This window comes from Homo sapiens, chromosome 3, assembly GCF_000001405.40.
Source record: "Homo sapiens chromosome 3, GRCh38.p14 Primary Assembly".
In the NCBI taxonomy this organism is placed as follows: Eukaryota; Metazoa; Chordata; class Mammalia; order Primates; family Hominidae; genus Homo; species Homo sapiens.
Window position 1 is genome coordinate 155,873,173 of NC_000003.12, and position 26,553 is coordinate 155,899,725.

At 38.8% G+C, this 26,553-nt stretch overlaps 1 protein-coding gene across 6 annotated transcripts in view; it reads left to right on the forward strand.

Moving 5' to 3' along the window:
* The window catches only part of GMPS (guanine monophosphate synthase), a 74,591-nt gene that overhangs the window by 3,743 nt on the left and 44,295 nt on the right, over nucleotides 1-26,553 (forward strand). For 2 of the 6 annotated variants that reach the window (XM_011513263.3, NM_003875.3), the window contains exons 2-3: nucleotides 20,346-20,527; nucleotides 24,755-24,869. In XM_011513263.3, coding sequence (XP_011511565.1) covers nucleotides 20,346-20,527; nucleotides 24,755-24,869 — 297 coding nt within the window. Of the gene's footprint in view, nucleotides 1-14,259; nucleotides 14,360-14,397; nucleotides 17,586-20,345; nucleotides 20,528-24,754; nucleotides 24,870-26,553 lie in introns of those variants that run through there. The other 4 variants (XM_047449145.1, XM_017007422.2, XM_047449146.1 and 1 more) reach the window with 4 other exon arrangements.

Here is a 26,553-nt window from a genome sequence, read left to right on the forward strand (position 1 = left end):
AGGATTTTCTAAAACGGCGTTTTTGCATGATAGAAACTGGAGAGGGGCCTAAAAGCTATGAAAGCATTTGGGTTATTTTAATTATTTTTTATACACAATATTTTATTTAATTTTTAATTTATATTATTTTTTTGAGACAGGATCTTGCTCTGTCACCCAAGCTGGAGTGCAGTGGTGTGATCACAGCTCACTGCTGCCTTGACTTCTTTAGCCTCCTGAGTAGCTGGAAGTACAGGCGTGGATCACCCCGCCCTGCTAATTTTTATTTTTTGTAGAGACAGTTCTCGCTGTGTTGCTCAGGCTGGTCTGGAACTCCTGGGCTCAAGCTATCCTCCCACTTTAGCGTCCCAAAGTGCTGGGATTACAGTAGTGAGCCACTGTGCCTGGCCAGTATTTTATTTATTTAAATTTTTTATTTCCGTATGTTATTGGGGAGCAGGTGTCGTTAGGTTACATGAGTAAGTTCTTTTTTTTTTTTTTGAGATGGAGTCTAGCTCTGTCGCCCAGGCTGGAGTGCAGTGGTGTGATCTCGGCTCACTGCAAGCTCTGCCTCCTAGGTTCACGCAGTTCTCCTGCCTCAGCCTCCCAAGTAGCTGGAACTACAGGCGCCCGCCACCATGCCTAGCTAATTTTTTTGTATTTTTAGTAGAGACAGGGTTTCACTGTGTTAGCCAGGATGGTCTTGATCTCCTGGCCTCGTGATCCACCTGCCTCAGCCTCCCAAAGTGCTGGGATTACAGGCGTGAGCCACCATGCCCAGCCATGAGCAAATTCTTTAGTGGTGATTTGTGAGATTTTGGTGCACCCATCACCCGAACGGTATACACAACACCCAGTATGTAGTCTTTTATCCCTCACCCGCTTCCTACCCTTTCCCCCTGAGTCTCCAAAGTCCATTGTGTCATTCTTATGCCTTTGCATCCTCACAGCATAGGTGATCAGCTTTTCTTTAAAAACTTTTTATTATGGCAGGGGTGTATTTGACATAGTAACTTGAGTTTTATTAAGGCAGCATTATCAGAGTAATGCTTTGGGTGACTTGTCAAGTTTCCTACTCTTTTCCCCTGTCTAAGGGTGAAACTCTTGGTTGGAGTAAAGGTGGTACCTGTCCTATCATTGAGAGGTTATGACTAGGTTATATCATACTTGGATGAAAGATGTTTTATAAACTCTCCCTTAGTGATTGCATGTGATACAGAATCTTTAATGGCATTTAATAATGTTAATTTTAAGTTTGGAATTTCCAAATTTAAGATTTTGAATGGAATGGGAATATAACTTGGGATTTTTATCTGGGATGTACTGAGAATTAAACAACTATATCACCTTTTGTCACAACTTAGTAAATTTTTTTCTTAGATAAAAGTTAGATTTTTCAGATTTTATTCCGTTAGGATATTCATTTAGAGTGGAAGAACTGCTGCAGACAAAAGGAATGGTTTTTAGTGTAGTGTGTTCTTAGACCTGAAAGGTTTTGAAATTCCTCCAGGAATCTCGGATGACATTGCCTTTAGCGTGGGCCAACTTGTCACTTAAGGAAAATAATTCAGTCTTTTAAGAATTTTTACAAAAAGTATAGACTTGTCTTATACTTGTACAAATGTATTTGATACTTTTTTAAGGTTAATGAATTACATTCCAAAGGATGTTGTTTGAAGTAATGAATAATTATTTGCTACCCAGAATAATCAAATTTTGCTGTTGTAGTACATTCTTAAACTTTGTTTTCTTTTTTTTTTTTTTTTTTTTTTTTGAGACAGAGTCTGGCTCTGTTGCCCAGGCTGGAGTACAGTGGCATGATCTCGGCTCACTGCAATGTCCGCCTCCCTGGTTCAAGTGATCCTTGTGTGATCCTTGTACCTCAGCCACCCGAGTAGCTGGGATTACAGGCGTGTGCCACCACATACGGCTAATTTTATATTTTTAGTAGAGACAGGGTTTCACCATGTTGGCCAGGCTGGTCTCTAACCCTTGACCTCAAGTGAGTCGCTCACCTTGGCCTCCCAAAGTCGTGGGATTACAAGTGTGAACCACTGTGCCTGGCCTTAAATCCTGTGTTTTGTTTTGTTTGTTTTTGAGACAAAGTCTTGCTCTGTCACCCAGGCTGGAGTGCAGTGGCATGATCTCCCCTCATTGCAACCTCCGCCTCCCAGGCTCAAGGAATTCTCCTGACTCAGCCTCCTGAGTAGCTGGGACTAAATGCGCATGCCGCCGTGCCTGGCTAACTTTTGTATTTTTAGTAGAGATGGGGTTTCACCATGTTGCCCAGGCTGGTCTCGAACTCCTGGGCTCAGGTGATCCACCGGCCTCACCTCCCAAAGTGCTAAGATGATAGGCGTGAGCCATTGTGTCCGGCCCTGGCCTTAAACTTTGTTTTTATGCCTCTTTCTAACCTAAACCATATTTAGATGCTGAAAATGAATGAAAGTGTCAGGGTTAATGCATAATTCTGAAGCACTTTGTGAATCAACAGAAAAATAATTGTTTCATAGAATTTTAAATCTTTGTGTGGCATATACAATTCTGGGTTGCGTAGAATATTATTTTTTTCATGCTTATTGTGGAATAGAGATGCTTCTGTATTTGCTCAAGAAGGACGGTGGTTAAAAAAATTGCTTTATTATAGTAAAAACATAACAGTCAATTGGTTTTCTTGTTGGTGGACCCTTGCTATGGCTTCAGGTTCATGGTTTTGAGGACCTAGGAGATTATATAGTTAAGTCTATACACTCATTAAGATTGTTATAATGTGAAAGGGAATAAGATCTCTAAACTGGGGCACATGAGCATAAAAAAAGAAGGTGTGGAAAATTTAAATTTATAATAATTGCTGCAAAATAAAATATTACATACAAAAAAATTGTAGATTTACACAATACAATTAGTAAGTAAATGGCAAAACTCCTGTGGCAAGAGTGTTCAGATTACTGTCTTCTGTACATTATACACAGGGACATATAACATCTCTTTCCTGCATGTGTTACACAAATACCCCATATTTCCCAGTGACCCAGCTTATAATGGCCTCGAGGCTCCTGTGCATCTTGCAAGGTGAGGAGTGGCTGTAACACAACTGGGAGGTACACTGAGTAGCCGGCAGGAATAGCAACTTCAGATATTTCTCCTGTCATCACCCAAGACTAGATAGAGTTAGCTATCCTTAATTGCCTGTGTCCAAGAGTACTTGATTTTATTAGAAAAGAGTAAGGAAGGATGTGTTACCAGTATTTGGCATTCAGACTGAACGAGAAGTTAAAAATGAGAACTGTTTACTATGCTTGCAACCCACACAACACTAGACAAAGCCATAGCCGAAGGTGGTATTAGATATAAGGTGAAAGTTTAACAAACCCGTCCTATTTTACTTTAAGGCAGTTATTCATAGTATGTTGTTAAAAAGAAAAATCTGAGACAAATGTTAAGCTGGGTGGGATATCGGACTAACAGATGTACATCAGGAGAGTCCTGGGCAGACTGGACCATATGGTCACTCCATTTATAGAGCACATATTGTTCTGAGTTTGGCTCTGATTTCTCCCCAGTGATGTGTATTTAAAATTTGGCTAAAATTTAAGTCTAGTGTGTATACATTAGCATTATTTTTCTGAGTTAATTATATAATAAGAGTATTATTCTAAAATTCTTGAAAACTGAGTGTCATTAATTACCTGTGTTTTAAAAGTGGTGTGAGCCAGCAGCACTGAACCTGACCCTAAGGTAAAATAATCTTCTCTAGTCTGCCATAACACTTGCAAGGGATGTTTCCCAAACCTTTAAAGCTGCCTGGACATGTGAAGTTTTCTGTTTAGTTACTCCCGTTTGTCACTGGAAAAACAGTAACCTTTTAATCTCAAAACTCACAGCGGTCCATGTAAATTTAATTTCTACCTCATTTGCAATTTGGAGAACGAGTCTCAGTAATTCTTCTGAATCCTATTATGAATGTAAATTTAGGACTCCAGATTTCTAAAATTCTGCTTTGGACAAATTTTGGATCAACGATCTCTGATTAATTTGGGAAATTTTAGATGAACAAAAGTACCTGTAGATATATCATTATTTTGATGTTATTGGTAGCAGTAGAACTTCATTATACTTATTATTTGGCAAGCAAATTAAAAGAAATTTTAGTCAACATCCATGTCCTCAATCTGGATTCTACCATTTACTTTTCCTAAAAAAATTTTTATAACAGCTTTATTGAGATATAATTGACATACCATGTACTCTGCTTAAAGTATCCAACCCCATAGTTCTTAGTGTATTCACAGATTTGTACAACCATCACCCCCCATTTGTACAGTCAAAAAAACATTCTCATCCCTCCTCCCAAAAAAAAACCTCTACCCTTCAGCAAGGGTCCCCATTTTCCTGCAACCACCGCTCCCTCCCAGTCCTAGTCAACCACAAATTCATTTTCTGTCTGTAGATTTGCCAATTGTCTTAGTCTGTTGGGGCCGCTAAAACAAAATACCAGAAACTGAGTGGCTTATGAACAACAAAAATTTCTCACAATTCTGAACGCTGAGAAGTTCAAAATCAAGGGACCTGCAGATTCAGTGCCTGGTGAGGGCCCACTTCCTGGGTCATAGAAGTGCTTGATGCTGTGTCCTCACCTTGGGGCCTTTTTTTTTTTTTTTTTTGAGACAGAGTCTCGCTAGTACAGTGGCGCGATCTCAGCTCACTGCAACCTCCACCTCCTGGATTCAAGCCATTCTTCTTCTTCAGCCTCCCGAGTAGCTGGGCATGCGCCACCATGCCCAGCTAATTTTTGTATTTTTAGTAGCAACGGGGTTTTGCTATGTTGACCAGGCTGGTCATGAGCTCCTGACCTCAGGTGATCCGCCTGCCTTGGCCTCCCAAAGTGTTAGAATTACAGGCATGAGCCACCGTGCCCAGCCCCTAGGGCCTCTTTTATAAGGGTACTAATCCTATCCGTGTGGGCTCTGCCCTCATGCTCTAACCACCTCCCAAAGACCTCACCTCTTAATATTATCACATTGGTGATTAGGTTTCAACATATGAATTTTAGGGGGACACAAACATTCAGACCGTAGCACCTATTTTGGACATTTTGTGACTAGAATCTTAAAATATATGGTGTTTTGTGGCTTTCACTTAGCATAATGCTTTCAAGGTTCATCTTGTAGCATGTATAAGTACTTTATTCCTTTTTATTACCTGCTAATATTCCATTGTATGTATACCACCTTATATTTATCCACTTATCAGTTGATGAACATTGGGTTGTTTTCACTCTGAATATTATGAATAATGCTGCCATGGACATTTCTGTATAAGTTTTTATCTAGACAAAAGTTTTCATGCTCTTGAGTATAAACCTAGGAGTGGAATTTCTGGGTCATAGAGTGACTCCGTTTAACCTTTTAGTGAACTGTCAGACTGTTTTCCAAAGCAGCTGCAACATTTTATATTTTTGTCTGCTGTGTGGCAGTTTATGTCAGGATTCTCCAGAAAAACAGTAGGCTATAGATAGAGAAATAGATAATAGATATATATATAGAGAGATATATGAGAGGAAATTTGTTAGGGGAATTGGCTGACGCGATTATGGAGGCTGAGAAGTCCCACGATAGACTGTCTGCAGGCTGGAGAACCTACCAAGCTGGTAGCATTACTTAGTGTAAGTCCAAAGACCTGAGAATCGGGAGTCCATGGTGTAATTCTCAGTGTGAGTCTGAAGGCCTGAGAACCTTGGTGGGAGAGGGATGGGGGGAGGGTGATGGGAGAGTGGCTGCTGGTGCAAGTCCTGGAATCCGAAGGCCATATCCTGAAATTCTTATATACAAGGGCAGAAGGTGTCCTAGCTCCAGAAGGGAGATAATTTGACTTTCCCCTGCCTTGACTTTGTTCTGCCCTAGCCTCAGCTATTGGATAATGCCTGCTCACATTGGATGAGGGTGGATCTTCCTTTCTGTGTCTACTGATTCAAATGCCAGTCTCTCCTGGAAACACCCTCAGAGACATACCCAGAAATAATCCTTTACTAGCTATCTGGGTATTATTAGTCTGGTCAAGTTCGTACCTGAAATTAGCCATCACAATTTCTCCACATCCTTTTCTGCACTTGTCTTTTTTTTTTTTTTTTTTTTTCCTGAGACAGAGTCTCTGTCGCCCAGGCTGGACTGCAGTGGTGCTATCTCAGCTCACTGCAACCTCCACCTCCCCAGTTCAAACGATTCTCCCACCTCAGCCTCCCAAGTAGCTGGGATTACAGGCATGCGCCACCACACTGGCTAATTTTTGTACTTTTAGTAGAGTTGAAGTTTTCCCACGTTGGTCAGGCTGGCCTCGAACTCCTGATCTCAGGTGATCTGCCTGCCTTGGCCTCTCAAAGTGCTGGGATTACAGGCATGAGCTACCACGCCTGACCCACTTGTCTTTTTGATTATAGCCATCAGAGTAGCTGTGAAGTGGGATCTCATTTTGGCTATGATTTGCATTTCCCTAATGACTGGTTATGTGCATTTTTTCATGTGCTTATTGGCCATTTCTGTATTTTCTTTGGAGAAATGTCTGTTCAGGTCTTTTTTGCCCTTTTTTTTTTTTTTTTTTGAGGCGGAGTCTCGCACTGTTCCCCGGGCTGGAGTGCAGTGGTGTGATCTCAGCTCACTGCAACCTCCACCTCCTGGGTTCAAGCAATTCTCCTGCCTCAGCCTCCTGAGTAGCTGGGATTTCAGGCGCCTGCCACCATGCCCAGCTAATTCTTTTGCCCATTTTAAAATTGGATTATTTTTCTTTTTTATTGAGTTTTAAGAGTTTTTTTTTTTTAAGTCTAGAGATGTTTCTTATCAATATGATTTGCGATTATTTTCTGCCATTCTGTAGATTATCTTTTTACACTTTCTTAATGGTGTTCTTTGAAGCACCAAAACCTTTAATTTTGAGGCTTAATTTATTTCTTCTTTTGTCACTTTTGTTTTTGGTGTCATCTAAAAAACTGTTGGCCTCATTCAATACATATCACAAAGATTTGTGTAATTACCTATGTTTTCTTATAAAAGTTTTGTAGTTTTTGCTCTTATTTATGTCTTTGTTTCATTTTGAGATAATTTTTGTATCTTTTCTAAGGTGGGTTTAATCTGACTTAGGGTTTTTTAACAGACTGGCTCTTAGATTTGGATGATTGTTGGCCTTGTTATTGACCATGGCAGAGCTTGACCATGAGTGCCCCTGAAGGCTGAGGGTAACAGTTGCTCATTGTGGTAGTATCTTTTTGTATCAGTTTTGTATCTTTAGTGTCAGTTTGTGGAGAGAGGTGGTAGTTTAAAAAACTCACTAATAGGTGTTTTGTTTTGCTTGTTTTTATTGTGGTAAAATGTACATGCAGTGAAGTGCATAGATCTTTAAGTATGTAGTTGAGTTTTGACATATATATGTACTCATGTAACCATCACCCCAATCAAGATATAGAACATTTCTGTCACTCACAACATTCCCTTGAACAATAAATAGAATCAGAAGCACTCTGGATTTAACAAAGTTGTTTTTAAAAAATGCAAACTTGGTATTGGTGCAGTATTTTTAAGTTAAAACTTTTTTCAGTTATTAAGAAAATCTCTGTCGGTTTGTCTGTTAGGCATATTATCTTGCCTAAGGTGGTACATCTTGGGTTAACCACGTCTGGCTCTCTAGAGGTTAATAGTGCTTCTCAGTGGTTTCTTTTCTCTGATGTCTTTCCTTCATTAGTTACCCTCTTATTAAAAAGAAAAAAATAAGTGTGCGTTTGTATTTTAATGTCTAAAGCCAAAGAATCAGTGTAATGTTTATCATAAAGACAAAGTCACCGAGAGATGACCATAATTATAGACATTTGGTACAGTTTTACTTACATTCTTATGTATTTCTGTTAGCAAAGGCAGAATCAAAATATGTTATTAATATTTATTGTATATATTTATGGGGTACAATGTGATGTTTTGACAAAGTATGTTAATAATTAAGAGCCTGCTATGGATGCTTTGATATTAGTTTTTTTTTTTTTTTTTTTTTTTTTGAGACGGAGTTTTGCTATTGTTGCCCAGGGCGGAATGCAATGGCATGATCTCGGCTCACCACAACCTCTGCATCCCGGGTTCAAGCGATTCTCCTGCTTCAGCCTCCCAAGTAGCTGGGATTACAGGCGTGTGCCACCATGCCCGGCTAATTTTGTATTTTTAGTACAGACAGGGTTTCTCCATGTTGGTCAGGCTGGTCTCAAACTCCCAACCTTAGGTGATCTGCCCTCCTTGGCTTCCCAAAGTGCTGGGGTTACAGGCGTGAGCCACTGCTCCTGGCTTGATATTAGTTTTTTAAATGTTACTTAAGCTGGTGGTAGAAACATCTTCACAAAGGCATATGATGATACTAATTTTTAAAATTGTACTGTGGCATTTCAGTTAGCTATTGCCACGGTAATGGTAATTAACAATCACAAAATGTAAGTGGCATACAAACATAAGCACTTATTTTTTGTTCGTGAGTTTGTGGGTCAGCTGACATTGCTCAGCTCCACTTGATCTTGTCCTTTTCCTGAGACTAGTACACTCATGATGTTCTCATGGTGGCAGAAGTCTAAGAGGCAAGTAGAAACATTAAGACTGCTTAAAGCAGCAGGGCCTGGTGGCTCACACCTGCAATCCCAGCACTTTGGGAGGCTGAGGTGGGTATATCACTTGAGCTCAGGAGTTTAGAACAGCCTGGGCAACATGAGGAAATCCTGTCTCTACTAAAAATACAGAACATTAGCCAGGCATGGTGGTGCATGCATGGGTGGTCCCAGCCACCTGGGAGACTGAGCTGGGAGGATTGCTTGAGCCTGGGAAGCAGAGGTTGCAGTGAGCTGAGGTCGCACCACCGCACTCCAACCTGGGTGACAGAGTGAGACCCTGTCTGAAAAAAAATAAAAATAAATGAAGACTGATTAAGACTTGGTGTACTATGACTTCTGCCCTCATTATATTGGCCAAAGCAAGTCTTGTGCTTGAGCCCAGTGACAAAGGTGAGGAAGTATGTTCTATCTATAATAGGACAAGCTGCAGACTTAAGTGATAAAATCATGGATACAGGGAATGATGAAGAATTAGGGCCAACGATGTTATATATGGAAAATTGAAAACATTTGCATAAGTACAGTGAAGAATATAATGATCCCTCAGGTCCCTATCCAGTTCAGCAGTTATCAACATGTGACCAGTCTTTCATTCATGTTTATGTAGTGCATCACAGTAAGAGAGTTACATATGTCTGGTTGTCTGTTTTTGTATGTTAAGCTGCATTAGTTGATTCAGATGTTACCAGCTTATCCGTCATTATCAGGTTTCTCATTAACCTTTTACTTAATGGTTTTAATAGCCACCGTTCAGTGCTTATCAAACATCTGCAATGAAGACCATTTAAAAAACATTTCCAGTACTGAGGACTGCTACTTTTGTAAAATACAGTAAATTTCTAGACAAATGAAAATTTAAAATCCAATATATTTTAAAAGCCCCCAATTTTTATTATAGATGCAACAGAAATAAAATTACTTTGTCAACTTGTTATGCAAATTTATGGATGCTTATATAAAACTTATGGATTCTTTTTTTGTCATGAACTGGTAACAGTTTGCTTAAAAACGTTCCTTCACTAACTATGTGGTTACCCTGGTAAAGTCAGAATACATGCTTGATTCATTCTCATTATTAATACTATTTTACCAATTTTGTAAATAGTTTTTTCAGATTTTATTCATTATTTCCAATGGTGCAATTAATGTATGCTGTATAATAGAAAGGGTCGTATGTAGAAAAGAGACTGGGTTTATGAAGTACAGAAACATCTTGAAAAATAGACCACATACTACCACATACTAAATACTTGTGAAATTGTGACACTCTATTACTTGAAGTTTAATTTTTTTTCTTTTTCTGTTTGAGACAGAGTCTCACTCTGTCGCCCAGGCTGGAGTGCAGTGGCACTATCTCAGCTCACTGCAGCTTCTGCCTCCTAGGTTCAAGCCATTCTCATGCCTCAGGCTCCCGAGTAACTAAAACTGTAGGTGTGCGCCACCACGCCTAGCTAATTTTTTTTGTATTTTTAGTAGAGATGGGGTTTCACCATGTTGCCCAGGCTGGTCTCAAACTCCTGAGCTCAAGTGATCCACTCGCCTCAGTCTTCCAAAGTGCTAGGATTACAGGCATGAGCCACTGTGCCTAGCCTAATTTATTTCTTAAGGAAAAAAAATGTATAAATGTGTTAATATTTTAGGAATAGTGATCACGTGATAATCAAAATTGAGAGTGTTCACAAATTCAGTATATTTAGAAAAATACAGCCCTTTGATTATCTTTCATCTCTTCATAAAAACTGTCTCGTATTTTAAGGTCATCTTTATTAGTACATTGATAGTATGGGGAGACAAACTGAAGAGAACGAGTCAGAGTTTGGGTATCCATCTGTATTGTTTTCATTTCTTCGCTTCTTTGCAAGATGCCTTTGGTTCTTCATGCAAACAGGCTATACATGTGCACATACTTAAAATCACCTTCAAAAGTAATTTTTGTTAAAATACTAGATCTCAGTCTCCTCAGGAATGCAGAGTGAGTCAAGACAACTAAAGGTGAATGTAAGAAAAAACCCAAGGAGTTTAACAGAACAACTAATCAGACTGAACATAGTTCAGAACTTTTCCTTCTAATATTTTGATAGTTTGACAACAGTTTTTACTGAATGTTTACCCTTTTCAAAATTGTGTATGTTGCCAGCTTTAGGAAACAAGCAGGTTGATTCGGGCTGATTGATACTGGTTTAAACCTACGCAAAGATAACCTTGTTCCTCAGTTGGCTAATGCTTGTTATTGAATAGAAAAACTAGCTATAATAAAGATTTTAATCTTTATTATATTAATAATATATTAATATTAAAAGGATTTAAATATCATGAGGCAGGCTGGGCATGGTGGTTAACACCTGTAATCCCAGCACTTTGGGAGGCTGAGGCGGGTGGATCACCTGAGGTCAGGAGTTCAAGACCAACCTGGCCAACATGGTGAAACCCCGTCTCTACTAAAAATACAAAAATTAGCTGGGCATGGTGGTGCACTCCTGTAATCCCAGCTACTTGGGAGGTTGAGGCAGGACAATCACTTGAACCTGGGAGGCAGAGGTTGCAGTGAGCCAAGATCGCACCACTGCACTCCACCCTGGGCAACAGAGCGAGACTCTGCCTCCAGAAAAAAAAAAAAAAGAAAAAAAAATCACGAGGCAAAGAACAGTATACTTTCATTTTAGTCAACAGTGCCAACTTTTCGTAGTTATTTGAGAACTGGTCACATACGTATATTGTGTCAACAAAATAGTATTGCCTTAACTTTCTGGAAAGACAAGTCTTAGGATAATTGAAACTCGAGGGGAAAATTGGCGTTGTTTTCAAAGGTTAAAAAATCAGATTAGAAATTGTGGCCCTGGACCAACTTTAAATTTCCCCTCAAATTAGAAGAAAAAGATAATAGAGAATTGTTCTATTTTCTTACCCCTAGTGTTCATAATGTGCAGATTACATACAGTAGAACTGTATTCAGTTTACCTGAGAAGATAGAATTCATCAACCCAATTCCATGATTAGGGTATGTGTATGGGGTTCTGGCTGTCTTTAGGTGGGTGCTAGAACTGGTAACTAAGTTGAAGCTAAATTGCTTTTTAGTTCATTGATTTAGATAGTACATTCAGCTGTTCATTATATTCTGGGAAGGTGCCCACATGAACTTGAAAGGAGCTATTGGCCCCTTGTAGATAGGGTAGAAGAGAGTCTGGACTACTTTGAAAATCTAAGAGATGTGTTTGGTTAGCAAAAGAAGATGAAGCTGCAGTCAGAGGTACAAACTGGTTCAGTTAAGGAGGAAAAATAATTGAATTTGAAACAATATACGTAACACGTAGAAACTAAATAGTCTTTAATGAATACCTACTAGCTTGAAATCTCATTAGGGAAAAGAGTTTTTTCAATGTATGAAGTTATTAACCAAGAGCAGTGAAAAGCTGACATAACATATGTCAGTAGAGACTTGTATTTCCCAAATCTATCGAACATTGAAAACTTAAACATAGTAATTTATTGAAGGCACTCCCATAGAATCCTATCTGTTGTGTACTCAGATTAAAGGAGGTAGTGAAAATGAACTCAGATGAATTAAGTGATTGAAATTTTTGTTTATATTTAATATCTACACATTTGTTAATATAAGACTAATGGAACAAAAGTTAGTGATCATAATTTAGGCAACATGAAACAGTTGGTAATTGGTAAACATTGTTTATATGACCAAATGTAGATCTAATATTGTACATTATTGCATCAGGGTATGTCTTGTGACTTCCAGATTTTTCTCAGGTATAAACACAGTTTTCTAAAGGCATTTTATACATTTGTTACCTAAAATGAACAACTGTGTAACTGTCAGCTATACCTAGAATTTTTTATCAGAAGTATTTTAGATTTTGGATTTTGGAGTATTTGTATTATACTTACTGTTTGAGTGCCACTAATCCAAAAATCCAAAATGTTTCAGATTTTTGGATTAAGGATGTTTAACCTGTATATAGAAAGAGACTTATTTAGACAAACTTGAAAGACTCATGTACTACTTACACATAGGGTTTTGTTTTGTTTTGTTCTATGTTTTGAGAGAATCTCGCTCTGTCACAGCCCAGGCTGGAGTGCAGTGGCATGATCTTGGCTCACTGCAGCTTCCGCCTCATGGGTTCAAGTGATTCTAGTGCCTCAGCCTCCGGTGTAGCTGGGATTACAGACATGTGCTACCATGCCTGGCTAATTTTTCTATTTTTAGTAGAGATGAGGTTTTGCCACGTTGCCCAGGCTGGTCTCAAACTCCTGGCCTCAAGTGATCCTCCCATCTCAGCCTCCCAAAGTGCTGGGATTACAGGTGTGAGCTATGGCGCTCAGCCTTCAGTTGGTTTTTAAATGTTTTGCTGACTAAAATATTAAGGGATTGCACTTGTCCATTCATAATTGTAGGAATAATAAGTTGCTACACTTTTCTAGGGATCTTACTCAACTGTTCACAGAATACATAGAGAAATGGCAAACTTGGTGAGTTATATAAAAATCTAGCATGTCTGGCTGAGTGCGGTAGCTCACACCTGTAATCCCAGCACTTTGGGAGGCCGAGGCGGGTGGATCATGAGGTCAGGTGTTTGAGACCAGCCCAGCCAACATAGTGAAACCCCGTCTCTACTAAAAATATGAAAAATTAGCCGGGCGTGGTGGCAGGTGCCTGTAATCCCAGCTCATCGGAAGGCTGAGGCAAGAGAATTGCAGTGAGCTGAGAGGTTGCAGTGAGCTGAGATCGCGCCACTGCACTCTAGCCCGGGCTACAGTACAAGAGTCCATCTCAAAAAAAAAAAAAAAAAAATCTAGCATGTCTATTCCTGATGACTTTTTTTTTTTTTTTTTTTTTTTTTTTGACACAGAGTCTTGCTCTGTCACCCAGGCTGGAGTGCAGTGATGTGATCTCCACTCACTGGGTTTCATCATGTTAGCCAGGTTGGTCTCGATCTCCTGACCTTGTGATCCACCCGCCTCAGCCTCCCAAAGTGCTGGGATTACAGGCGTGAGCCACCGTGCCCGGCCTCCTGATGACTTAGCTGGGCTCACCTCTGTTTCTTCCCTTGAAGCCTTGGGATGTCTTCCTGTTCTATGAGAAATTCCTTGAGACACACTGGGAATCCCTTTCCCTTAAGGAAAAGCTTTTCTGCAACTTTATGTGACTCAATATGAATTAACATAATATTAACAATGGCAATGATAGTTGTGTCATTGGACTAGTGGAATTTTAAGATATTAATATTTAAGATATATTGTAATTTCAGAGATGCGTGGCTTCTTTCACTTGGCAAGTTTGAAATGATTCATTTATGTTTTGGGGATTTTTCAGCCAGAAAGGACAGCATACCACTCTGGAGCAATAGAGAATTTTAAAAGAGCAGTTTGGCTAAAGAGTAGGCCAGGTTCTTATAGGTCTTGGGAAATATTTTGAGCTTTATTGAACAGTCTAAGGGGAAGTCACTGTAAGGTTTTGAGCAAAGGAAGATTTGAATCTGATTTTTTTTTTCTTTCTTTTAAGCACACTGGCATGTTATCCAAACTCAGTATCACCAGTAATGGAACAAAATGACATTGTGTCTTTGCATTGTATCATATCAAGAGGAGGCATGATAACATTACCAATGTAAATTTCTTGTCAAATGTTTATCTAGAATCTGATCATGATACAACAAAGAGATCCAGTGTGGGACATTCTACAAAAAGCTGGTCTGATCTTTAAAAAAGGTCAATGCCATAAAAGACTATAAAAAGGTGAGGAGGTGAATAGTTGAAGGAGACAATGTATGACAATGTGTGTACTGTGTGTGTGGTCCTTGATAGATTATGGAATTTTTTAAAAACCATAAACACCTTGTTTTTGACAATTGGGGAAACTTATATGTAGATAATTATCAATGTTAACTTTCTTGGATGTGATAATGATATTGTAGTTACATAGGAGATTGTCCCTGTTTGTAGGAGATGCATGCTGAAAAGGTTTTGGGGGAGTGAAAGGTATACAGTTTAAGTCGTTCAGGTGGAAAAAGTGTATGTAGATGGAAATAAAGCAAATACAGCAAAATGTTACTGATCATTGATATAGATGAAGAGTGGTGTTTATTGTACCAAACTTTCAACTTTTCTTTAGGTTAAAAAATTTAAAAATAAAAAGGGATAGGGTAGAACAACAGAACTACAGAGTCTTACTTTTTGATTTAACATTTTAGTTTAGGTTCCAACTTCATTCAGTGTTATGTGAGATGATGGCCTCTTATGAAAAACCTCAGTAAAATTGACCAACATTCCTTTATTTTAATTATTAAAAATTTTTTTTAAGAGATAGGGTCTTGCTGCATTGCCCAGACTAGTCTCCAATTCCTGGGCTCAAGTAATCCCCCCTCCTTAGCCTAAAAAATTATGTGTGCTTTTAATCTAAAATACCCAAAGGCTTTTTTTTTTTTTTTTTAATCCAGTAATTTTGTTGGAGTATGTTTTAGGGTTGGTCGTTCTGAGTTCATAGACTAATTTTGATTCATGTTCTCTCTTGCCTTGTGTAATTTTAAAAGTATCTTTTAGCTACTATAGAAATAGTACATTCTAGTTTTGAGCTGAGGATGTCTTTCTTGCTTATTCTCATAGAGACATCATTCTGTTCTTTATTCCCTCTATTTTTTATTTTTATTTTTTTGAGACAGGATCTCACTCTGTCACCCAGGCTGGAGTGCAGTGGCATGATTATGACTCACTGTGGCCTCAACCTCCTGGGCTCCTCTCACCTCTGCCTCCCGAGTAGCTAGGACCACAGGCACGTGCACCCACTCCCAGCTAATTTTTTTTTTTTTTTTTGAGATGGAGTTTCACTCTTATTCAGGCTGGGGTGCAATGGTGTGATCTCAGCTCGCTGCAACCTTCACCTCCAAGGTTTGAGCAATTCTCCTGCCTCAGCCTCCCAAGTAGCTGGGATCACAGGCATGCACCACCACACCCAGATAATTTTGTATTTTTAGTAGAAATGGGGTTTTACCACGTTAGCCAGGCTGGTCTCGAACTCCTGACCTCAGATGCTTCACCCTCTTTGGCCTCCCAAAGTGCTGGGATTACAGGTGTGAGCCACGGCACCTGGCCTAATTTTTGTATTTTTTGTAGAGACAGGATTTCTTTATGTTACCCAGGCTGGTCTCGAACTCATGGGCTCAAGCGATCTGCCTCCCTCCACTACCGCCTCCCAAAGTGCTGGTATTACAGGCTTTAGTCACAGGGACCTGGCCTCCCTTTTTTTTACTTTTAGTAACTTTGTATGGGATTTAACTTCTATACTTTGTTTCCTTTTTATGTGAATTTAGTTTTCCTCAACTTTTAGAAGGAAGCTAGTCAAGATAACGTTTCTAACTTCATACAACTTCCTCTTCTGTTAAAAAATTATGGCACTTGTTTCCTAAGAATTCCTGGCTCTGTCCCTGTGCCCCATGTTAGTCTGTTCCTTCTCCCTTTTTCCTGTCCTGTTAGTTTTGGTCATCTCCCAGCAGTGGCTCTTCATAGCAGGCCCTCTCCTGGAAAGGATCTCTGACTGGTTAGTGTCAAGGGTTCATGGGGGTTAAACTCTCCTGGCCCCTTTATGTCTTACCTTGGGTTCCCTGCCACTTGTGTACTATTGGTGTGGGCAAACCTCCTCCTAGCGCGCTGCGGTTCTCTAATTGGGTGCTGTGCCTTCTGGGTCGTACCTCTTGGGTGTTGGGAATTCTCCTGTTTTCAGGTCCTTTAATAAGGCTGGATTGCTTCCCACGTAGGTGCTGTAGCACTAGGGTTTGTGGCTGTGGTAGTTTGTCACCACCAACTTGTATTTTGGGGTTCTTGTAAATGTCTTTGCTATCTAGTTGTTCAGTAATTATGTGGGATCCAAGAAAATCACAAAACATTTCCATAAACATTTCCATCTCCACTTTTCCAGAATCTGCTAGATCTTCTTACCCTATTCTTAAAGAGTTTGCTGTATATGGTTTAATTTTTTCCTTAATATTTTTTCTTGATATCTTAAAATATATCTATGAATATTGCTTATTTTATTATGATGCACTCAGGGCAGTGAGGGATATTCACCTTAAGTCTTTAGGCATTTGTCTTTTTAATAGCTTTATGTAAATAGATATGGTAGATTTTTCTATCTTGTGATGCTGAATTTTATTTGTCTCTGCATTGATGTGACTAAGTTTCTTTTTTCTCATTAGGATGGTTTTTCTAATATCTCGAATCTAATTATCAAACTTTACAACTGTGTGTGAAGTGTGAGCAAATAAATGCCAGGTTTTGAGGGAGAGGAACTTTGCTTTTACTAGTGGGAGCCTTTTTGTTTTCTCCTGAATTGTCAAAGCTGTGACAGTTGCTGCATAGGCAAGGTCATACCCACAGTAGAAGGAAATAGGGCAAGGATTCAGTTTCTTCAGTAATCTCTTGTGTCACAGAATTGAACATTTATTGCTAAGGAAACAGGAAAATTCTTTTAAAATACATTTTTTGAGTAAAGATTAGTTTACTTAAATAAATACAGGCAGTCCTTGCTATGCAGGATAAGTAAAACAGCTAAAAATAATAATGCAAGCTGAAACCATGCAAAGCAATTTTAATAGTCAGTGGGAAAATTACAATTGTTTTGTGATCTTTAAAAATTTTTGTTAAATCACTAAAAACTTTTGTCAATTACAAAAGTGTAGGGAAATAAAAAAATAGTAAAACTACTGTTTACTACAGTATAATTTAAAATACTAGGAACATTGAGAATTAAAGTATTTTATTTCTTTGTAAAAAGCTTATCAATAGTAGTTTAAACAGCACTTCTCTGTGTCGTTTCTGTGCCTTGGTTGCTTCCAACATTTTATCCTTTGCAGTTTTAATGTCATGAAATATCTCCTAGAGTTGCTTTAATGTGAAGTATTTTCCTGGAGTCACTTCCTTTGGGACGTTGCCATTCTTTCCATCACAACCAGTTTCCTCACTGATGTTGGTAAGTTCTGTGGCTGTATATCTAGAGGCTCTCAAACCCTGTCAGCCTTGCCACAGTCAGCATTTTCTTCTGTAACTCCATATATTCAAATTTCACTCCAGCATTATCACTTTTCATTTCTTTGCTGCATTTTCATCTTTGTTGGCCAGCCCCGTTTGGATTATCTGTATTTGTAAAAAGTCCTTTGGGGTTTATCAGTGTAAGACAGGCAACACACTGCACTCTGGCTGTTTGTTGTCCATTGACCAATCACCAATAGAATGAAAGAAGGGAGGTGATTGGTCACTGATCCTGATGTTCATCTGTTATTTACATGGTGGTTTGTGGACTGAAGAGCTGGCAATGAAGTTTGTCCTTTATATAATTACTCACAGTAATGTATGATAACTGAAATTTGAGCCATGTTGTTGGGGACTGGTAATTAACTAAACCTTGGTATAAACCATGGTAATTGAAATTTGTGCATATTAGGATTATGCAAGGCAGGAACTCTGCCTGTAATGTAAAAAAGCATACTTAGATTTGGTAAAAATGGTAAAGATAATAATGGGACTGAGTCTGAGAAATTTATGCAATAATGTAGTGTTTAAAAATATTTTTTAAAAAGTTAAGATTAAGGAATTATAGAGAAAATCCATGAAGGGGTGTGTGTATGTGTATACATTAATACTAAGGGTAAAGGTCTGAAAGGACAAAGTTGTAGTTTGTTCTGTGATTTCACTTTTCTACGGTATTGAATATTCATATGACCAGAACCTTCATTTCTATGACCTGAGTAATTTCTTCTGGCACCGGATTGGCTCCCTCTCACAAATCCTCCTCTGTAGATGACTGATTTGTTTGTTACTTTTTTTTTTTTTTTTTTTGAGATGGAGTTTTGCTCTTGTTGCCCAGGCTGAAGTGCAATGGCGTGATCTTGGCTCACGGCAACTTCCGCCTCCTGGGTTCAAGTGATTCTCCTGCCTCAGCCTCCCGAGTAGCTGGGATTATAGGTGCCCACCACAATGCCTGGCTAATTTTGTGTTTTTAGTAGAGGCAGGGTTTTTCCATGTTGGTCAGGCTGGTCTTGAACTCCTGACCTCAGGTGATCCACCTGCCTCGGCCTCCCAAAGTGCTGCGATTACAGCTGTGAGCCACCATGCCTGAACGCTTGTTCGTTTTTGCAGCAGACGGAATAGTGGTGTTGTAGGTTAGGCCTGCATTTATTTTTTGCAGATAAATGGAGAAGGGAGGAATGGTGGAAAAGATTACACAAGTGGCTAAAGGACTGACTTAAGGTTTTTATCTGCAAATTTTACAACTAGAGGGAGAAAACCTCCCTAAATATGTTTATTGTAAACATTTAGGACATATTGAAGAGTATAAAGAAATAAAAATATAAAATCACTTATAGTTCCATTACTTAGATGAACTACTTCATCACTCTTAATATTTTGGTGTATGGCCAGCCATACTCTTCCTTTTTTATACATGCATACAGACTTTTGCACTTTTATATAAGACACATTGAAGTGGCATTATACTGTACATGCTTCCTATAAGTGGATTTCCAGGGTACACACAAACTTTTAAAGCGTTTCTTTATGTAAAATTTAAAATATACAAACAAACAAAAAAGCAAACAAAAAAAACCCCCAGGATAGAAACCAGACGAGTACAATGAACTTAATGTACCTATCACCCAACTTCAGTGATTTCAGTACACGGGCAGTCTTGTTTCATCCATAGCCACCTACTTTTGCATTATTTTGAAGCATCTTCCAGGTAAGTATTTTGGTATATTTCAGTTAAAAACTTGACATTTTGCCAAATTAACCTTTCAGAAAAGTGTTATCCATGTATACCTGACAGCAATCAGATTTAAAAAGTCTTTTTATTTTTATTTATTTTTGAGACAGAATTTTGCTCTTGTTGCCCAGGCTGGAGTGCAATGGCATGATATCAGCTCACTGCAACCTCCGCCTCCGGGGTTCAAGCGATTCTCCTGCCTCAGCCTCCCCAGTAGCTGGGATTACAGTGCCCGCCACCATGCCCAACTAATTTTTTGTATTTTTAGTAGAGACAGGATTTCACCATGTTGGCCAGGCTGGTCTTGAACTCGTGACCTCAGGTAATCCACCTGCCTTGGCCTCCCAAAGTGCTGGGATTACAGGCGTGAGCCACCGCGCCCGGCCTAAAAGGCCTTTTAAAAATCTTAGTGTTATGAGTTAGATGCATATATATCATTTTCCTCAGATAATACAAAAAAAATCCTAACAGTGAATTTGGCCATGCTTATACTCTAGTGTCAAACTTCTAGTTTCCCCATCAGTATATATCCCTCATAAAAATGTTGTGCCTATTGATAGGGTGACCGAATAACTTATTGTCCAAACTGGGACACTTTGAGATTGAAAGGATGCACTGTTAATAATAATGCCCATGTAATAAACATAAACCAGGACTATATTTTGGCGCAGCTGGATTGTGTGCTCATCCTACCATTAGATCATGCATGTAAGATATATATACACATGATCACTATATTACATAGTCAATAAGTGGTAAGATTTATTAAGTTTAAGTGTTTAATATATGCCCATGCATGGATATATATTAAAATCTTCCCTTTAAAAGGGGTATTTTGAATTGGTAACTCAGAAAGTCCTAAGTTTTCATTCCTATGTGTTTTTGGAGCTGACAGTGATCATTAATTTTTTTTTAAGTACTGTAGCTTTAATTTTCATAATTAAGACTTTGTATTTGTATTGATATTTGCAGCTGGAGAATGCTGGAGGAGACCTTAAGGATGGCCACCACCACTATGAAGGAGCTGTTGTCATTCTGGATGCTGGTGCTCAGTACGGGAAAGTCATAGACCGAAGAGTGAGGGAACTGTTCGTGCAGTCTGAAATTTTCCCCTTGGAAACACCAGCATTTGCTATAAAGGAACAAGGATTCCGGTAGACTTTTCACTAATCTTTTCATGAGGAGATTGAACTTAGATTGTGGAATATTTTATTATTAATTTTCTTGAGCACTGAATTTTTCTACGAAAATAAGATATGGAATGGTTTTATGAGAAATTTCCCATGGCTCTGATTTGGGGAGAAAAAGGAAAAATTTAAGCTTTCAGTTTAAAAAGATTAATTTTAATTGTACAGTTAAAAGAACTTATCATTTGAGTATTTTATGTTTTATAGGATTTGTGGGTCAGAGTTAGATGTAGCTGTTGTGGCCATTCATTCATTTACTTAAAAGCATTTCATCAAAGGAAAGTAGGAAGTTGGCTAGAATACTCCAAAGAGAAGAAATCTGTGTACAATAAGTGTTTTTGCTTCCTATCCCAATAGACTAGTTTCTAAAGTATGGAGATTTCTTAAATCTAATATATGGGCTAATTTTGACAGCTTGTACCCTTAGAACTAGTCAAAATAACAGCCAGCTTATGTAGTTTCTTCCTTTAACAACTATTTTTGGTTAATGTCATGCTTTCTTTTTTTTTGAGGCGGAGTCTCACTTGGTTACCCAGGCTGAAGTGCAGCGGCACGATTTTGGCTCACTGCAACCTCCACCTCCCAGGTTCAGGTGATGCTCCTGCCTCAGCCTCTCGAGTAGCTGGAAGTACAGGCGGATGCCACCACACCTGGCTAATTTTTGTATTTTTAGTACAGAACGGGTTTCACCATGTTGTCCAGGCTGGTCTCGAACTCCTGACTTCAGGTGATCCACCTACCTAGGTCTCCCATAGTGCTGGGATTACCGGCGTGAGCCACCGTGCCCGGCCAGTGTCATGCTTTTTAATGCTTTTTTTTTTATTGTTGTTTTTTCTTAGATTAAGACTGTTACGTAGAAGCAAGCAACTGTAGTTTATGTCCTTAATTGGCTCTTAAACTCTAATATTAGATGTACTATGCTTCTCCCAAAATTTAAAATTTTATTTTTCTTAAAAGAATTGTCTTTCCAGTGTGAAAGTGGTTAAAAGAACTTTTAAAGACTTCACAGACATGTGTGCATTATCCTGTGTTTTGTTGGTTCTGAAGTAGAGTGAATTAGAAATTATAAAAGGCGGGCTTAAATTTAACTCTGCTCTGGTGTTAGGATACAGATAACAAATGACTCTTTTAAACTATGGAATTTTAGAGTAATAAGGGACCCTTGAGTTTATCTAATTCAGCTGATTTTATTTACCAGCAAGAACTAGTTTTTTAGAGGGATCAAAAAACTCTGTGATAAATCTGAATGCCTCTCTGTCAAATCAGAGCTCCATCATTCCCCTCACCCAAAACAAACAAAAAATCCCCAGCAAACTAACAGACTAAACAGATACTAGAATAGGATAGCTGAATACTTGGCAAGAGAAATCTAATGGTGTTTCATGTCACTTGATCATAAACAGTGTCTAGGTTCAGCTTGTACCTAGAATTTCCCTTATGTAGTAGGAGAATAGAAACTATACTGCTGTGGCTTTTATTACTGTAATCCTTTCTGTAGAAATAACTATTTGACCACCCCTTTTCTAGAACATTTTGTGACATGAGAGACATCTTAACCTACCTATTTTTATTTTTTTTTTATTATTTTTTTGAGATGGAGTCTCACTCTGTCGCTCAGGCTGGAATGCAGTGGTGCGATCTTGGCTCACTGCAGCCTCTGCCTCGCAGGTTCAACCTGGCAGATTCTCCTGCCTCAGCCTCCGGAGTAGCTGGGATTACAGGCATGTGCTGCCATGCCTGGTTAATTTTTTTATTTTTAGGAGAGATGAGGTTTCGCCATGTTGGCCAGTCTGGTCTTGAACTCCTGAGCTAAGGTAATCTGCCCGTTTCAGCCTCCCAAAGTGCTGGGATTACAGGCTTGAGCCACCCCTCGCGGCCCACCTATTTTTAGAAGCTTGATCTGCCTGATACATAAAATTGGTATTTGGAATGAATTACGGCTTATTGGGCCTTGTGATTGCAGGTTACTTTCAGAATAGCAGGATAGAAATGGAAGGCTCAAAGAGTGATTAGCTTTTAAAGATTTGTTGAAATAAGACTTTCTTAATTGGTTTAAGTACTACTTGAGTTTTATCCTTAACTAAGTCCATGACTTTTTTGTTTTTTTAATAGCACTAAGAATCTTATATCCTAGAGTTCTTTAGCAGATTAAGGGGTACTGGGCAGTCCCATGGTGGTTATCCTTTGTGAAACTAAATATAATATAATAGAATCTAGAGGTCTTGATTATTCAGTATGTGTTTTATAGAATTTTAGCTTCTGTTTTTTTTGTTTTTGTTTTTGTTTTTTTTTTTTGAGACGGAGTCTCGCTCTGTCACCCAGGCTGGAGTGCAGTGGTGTGATCTCTGCTCACTGCAAGCTCCGCCTCCCAGGTTCACACCATTCTCCTGCCTCAGCCTCCTAAGTGGCTGGGACTACAGGTGCCCACCACCATGCCCGGCTAATTTTTTGTATTTTTAGTAGAGACAGGGTTTTGCCATGTTAGCCAGGATGGTCTCGATCTCCTGACCTCGTGATCCACGCACCTCGGCCTCCCAAAGTGCTGGGATTACAGGTGTGAGCCACCATGCCTGGCGTTAGCTTCTGTATTTTTAAGGAGTTAGGTTATAGATCTACCCTTAGGGGTAACCCCATCCCCCTTTAGAATTGTTATCTTAAATATCATTTTTATCATCTGAGTAGCTTGTCTTCCATCTCTCTTTTGCAGGACACACACTAACAAATGTTTACCACATCTCAGGTTGCCCATACAAAGTTCAAAAGGTGCTTTTGAGCTCATTGAAGTTGCTGTTTTTTTAAAAAATGATCTAGCTTGCTGAGTATTTTTTTTTTCTCTCACTGTTTTGGTTTTTATTTTTTTAAATTTTTTGTAGACATGGGGTTTTGCCACATTGCCCAGGCTGGTCTCGAGCTCCTGGGCTCAAGCAATCTGCCCGTCTCTGTTTCCCAAAGTGCTGTGATTACAGGTTTGAGCATCCATGCCCAGCCTTACTGAGATTTTTTTTTTTTTTTTTTTTTTTATAAATTTGACTTATGTTGTATTGTTCTTCTGGATGTATTATAAATCTAGCAATATACTTTGTATATTTTTATATGACAGGGAATCACTATTTAAAAAGTGTGTTGCAGTCCAAATTTGTAAGTAAGTTTTTATTAGATTTTACAATGCCTTTTTCTTTGAAATACAGATAAGTCAGATTTATCTGCAAACTCAAAGTGAGTTAGAGAGTACCTTAAATTGAATAAAGGGCCTAAGTATACCTTCATTGTGTGAGTGGGCATGTGTGGCAAACTGGAGAGCATGTGCAGCTTGAAGGTGCAAGCCACTTTATGATTCCAATTGGTTGTAGTTATGCAGGAGTGAAGGCCCAGTGTTTCCAGATTTTTTTTTCCCTGAAGAAATTCCAGAAATCTGAATTTTTGTGAAATTCTTGATATTAAAATGTTTAAGTTTTTTTGAGTGAATACTCATGGCCAGTGTAGATGTATTAGTGGCCAGGAGAGGAACATAGGCCTCAGTTTGCAGTTTTCCCTTATTATAGTAGTTTGACTCCCAAGTTAACCCATGCTCTGCAAATTATAAGATAGCTAAATTATACTACTGACCTGATTTCTGAGAGCAGGGCATGTGGGGGCAGAAGTGTTACTAGCTCCCTTTCCTGGGCTCAGGGAAAATTGTTGGGGATGGTGGATGCTGTAAACAGGCAAAGTTGGGTAATGTATACTTTCTATTCTGCCGTCTTTTGTTGTAGAGTATTTTGCTCTGAGCCATCCAGGGCCTTCATAATACCTTCAGTTGTTGTTCTTTGACCTGCTAGGCTCTGAGAAGACCTGTATTTTCACCATCTCTAGAATTCTTACGTACTTCTTCCATTGATAAGGAAACAAGTAAAACAAATCCATGCTAAGTATCACAGATAGAAACATTGGTATTATCTATTTGGAAGTTTGTGCTTATTAACAAGTAAATGCTGAATTGATAGACTTCTAAACATTGCAGTAAAGTACAGTAAAAATAATTAAACCACGTAGGATGACAATTCGCTGTGATATAATTAGAATTTGCTACATTCTACCAAAAACAACGCAATTTCTGGATCTGTGTTGTTTCCCTCAGTGGTACAAGGGAGAGAGGGCATAGACCTTGTATAAAAATTAACAGAGATTCTTCACTGATTGTTCCTTAAATCACAGTGCTATTATCATCTCTGGAGGACCTAATTCTGTGTATGCTGAAGATGCTCCCTGGTTTGATCCAGCAATATTCACTATTGGCAAGCCTGTTCTTGGAATTTGCTATGGTATGCAGGTATGTCAGCAAATTTGTTTTGAAAGCTTACTTATATTTTATTCTGTTTGTGAGTCATACTGTATTAGTATTTTCTCTCTTTAGGATATTTAGGATACTTAGTTGGATGAGATAACTTGTGCATGTTACAACTATGTGAATTGCCACACTAGTATGGCAGAACTGGCCTGATAGGGAATCTATTTTCAAAGTAGTAAGTACACTGTTTCATGTAACAAAACACTATCCATTTAAAAAAACCTTGGACATGCAAATTTACATAAAATTTTCAGAAATAGTACATAGAGCTCCTGTATACCTTTACCCAGTACTCCAGTTGTTGACATTTTTGAACCATTTGAAAGTTGCACACGTGATGCCCTGTTACTTATATTTCCTAAATATTAGGACACTCTTACTGCATAACCACAGTACAACTATCCAGGTCAGAAAAGTTAACATTTACTCATTGTTAGAATCTAATCCACAGACTCCTTCACATTTCACAGTTTGTCTCATTAATATCCCTTATAGGCCACAGATCAGTCAGGACTATGTGTTGTTTTTAGTTGTTGTTTCTTTAGACTCTTTCAGTCTGAAATAGTTCCTCAGTGTTTCCTTCTCTTTCATGAGCTTGAAAGTATTTTTAAAAAGTACGTGTTAATTATTTTGTAGAACATTTCCCAACTTTGGTTTCTGTGATGATTCCTCATTGTTAGATTCAGGTTATGAACTTTTGGCAGGAGTATCACAGAATTGGTGCTGTGCTTCTCAGAGCATCTTATCAGGAGGCACACGGTGTGGATTTGTGGCATGACAGGTGATGTTAACTTGGATTATTTGGGTAAGATGGTATCTGTCGGGTGTCTCCATTGTAACATTAATTAATAAGTATATGTGCCTTGGTTTTATATCAAAAGTAAGAATAGGCCAGGCGTGGTGGCTCATGTCTGTAATCTTAGCACTTTGGGAGGCCGAGGCGGGTGGATCACCTGAAGTCAGGAGTTCGAGACCAGCCTGACCAACATGGGGAAACCCTGTCTCTATTAAAAATAACAAAAGTTTGGCCAGGCGCAGTGGCTCACGCCTGTGATCCCAGCACTTTGGGAGGCCGAGGCGGGTGGATCACCTGAGGTCGGGAGTTCGAGACCAGCCTGACCAACATGGAGAAACCCCCGTCTCTACTAAAAATACAAAATTAGCTGGGCGTGGTGGCGCATGACTGTAATCCCAGCTCCTTGGGAGGCTGAGGCAGGAGAATCACTTAAACCTGGGAGGCGGAGGTTGCGGTGAGTGGAGATCATGCCGTTGCACTCCAGCCTCAGTGACAAGAGCAAAACTCCTTCTCAAAAAAAAAAAGTAAGAATAAGTAGGGACTTACTGAGATCTTGAGATAAGATACTCTTCTTTTCTTTTTTTTTTTTCAATTACTTTGTTTTTAGAGGGGTTTTAGGTTCACAGCAAAATTAAGAAGGTATAGAAATATCTTATATACCTCCAACCTCTACACATGCATAGCTTCTTCCATTATCAACATCCCACACCAGAGTGATACATTTGATATAACTGATGAACCTACATCAACACATCATTATTCCCAAAGTCCTTAGTTTAGATTAGTGTTCATTCTTGATTTTTGTACATTCTATTGTTTTGGACAAATGTATAATGACATATATCTACCATTGTAGTATTATACATTTTC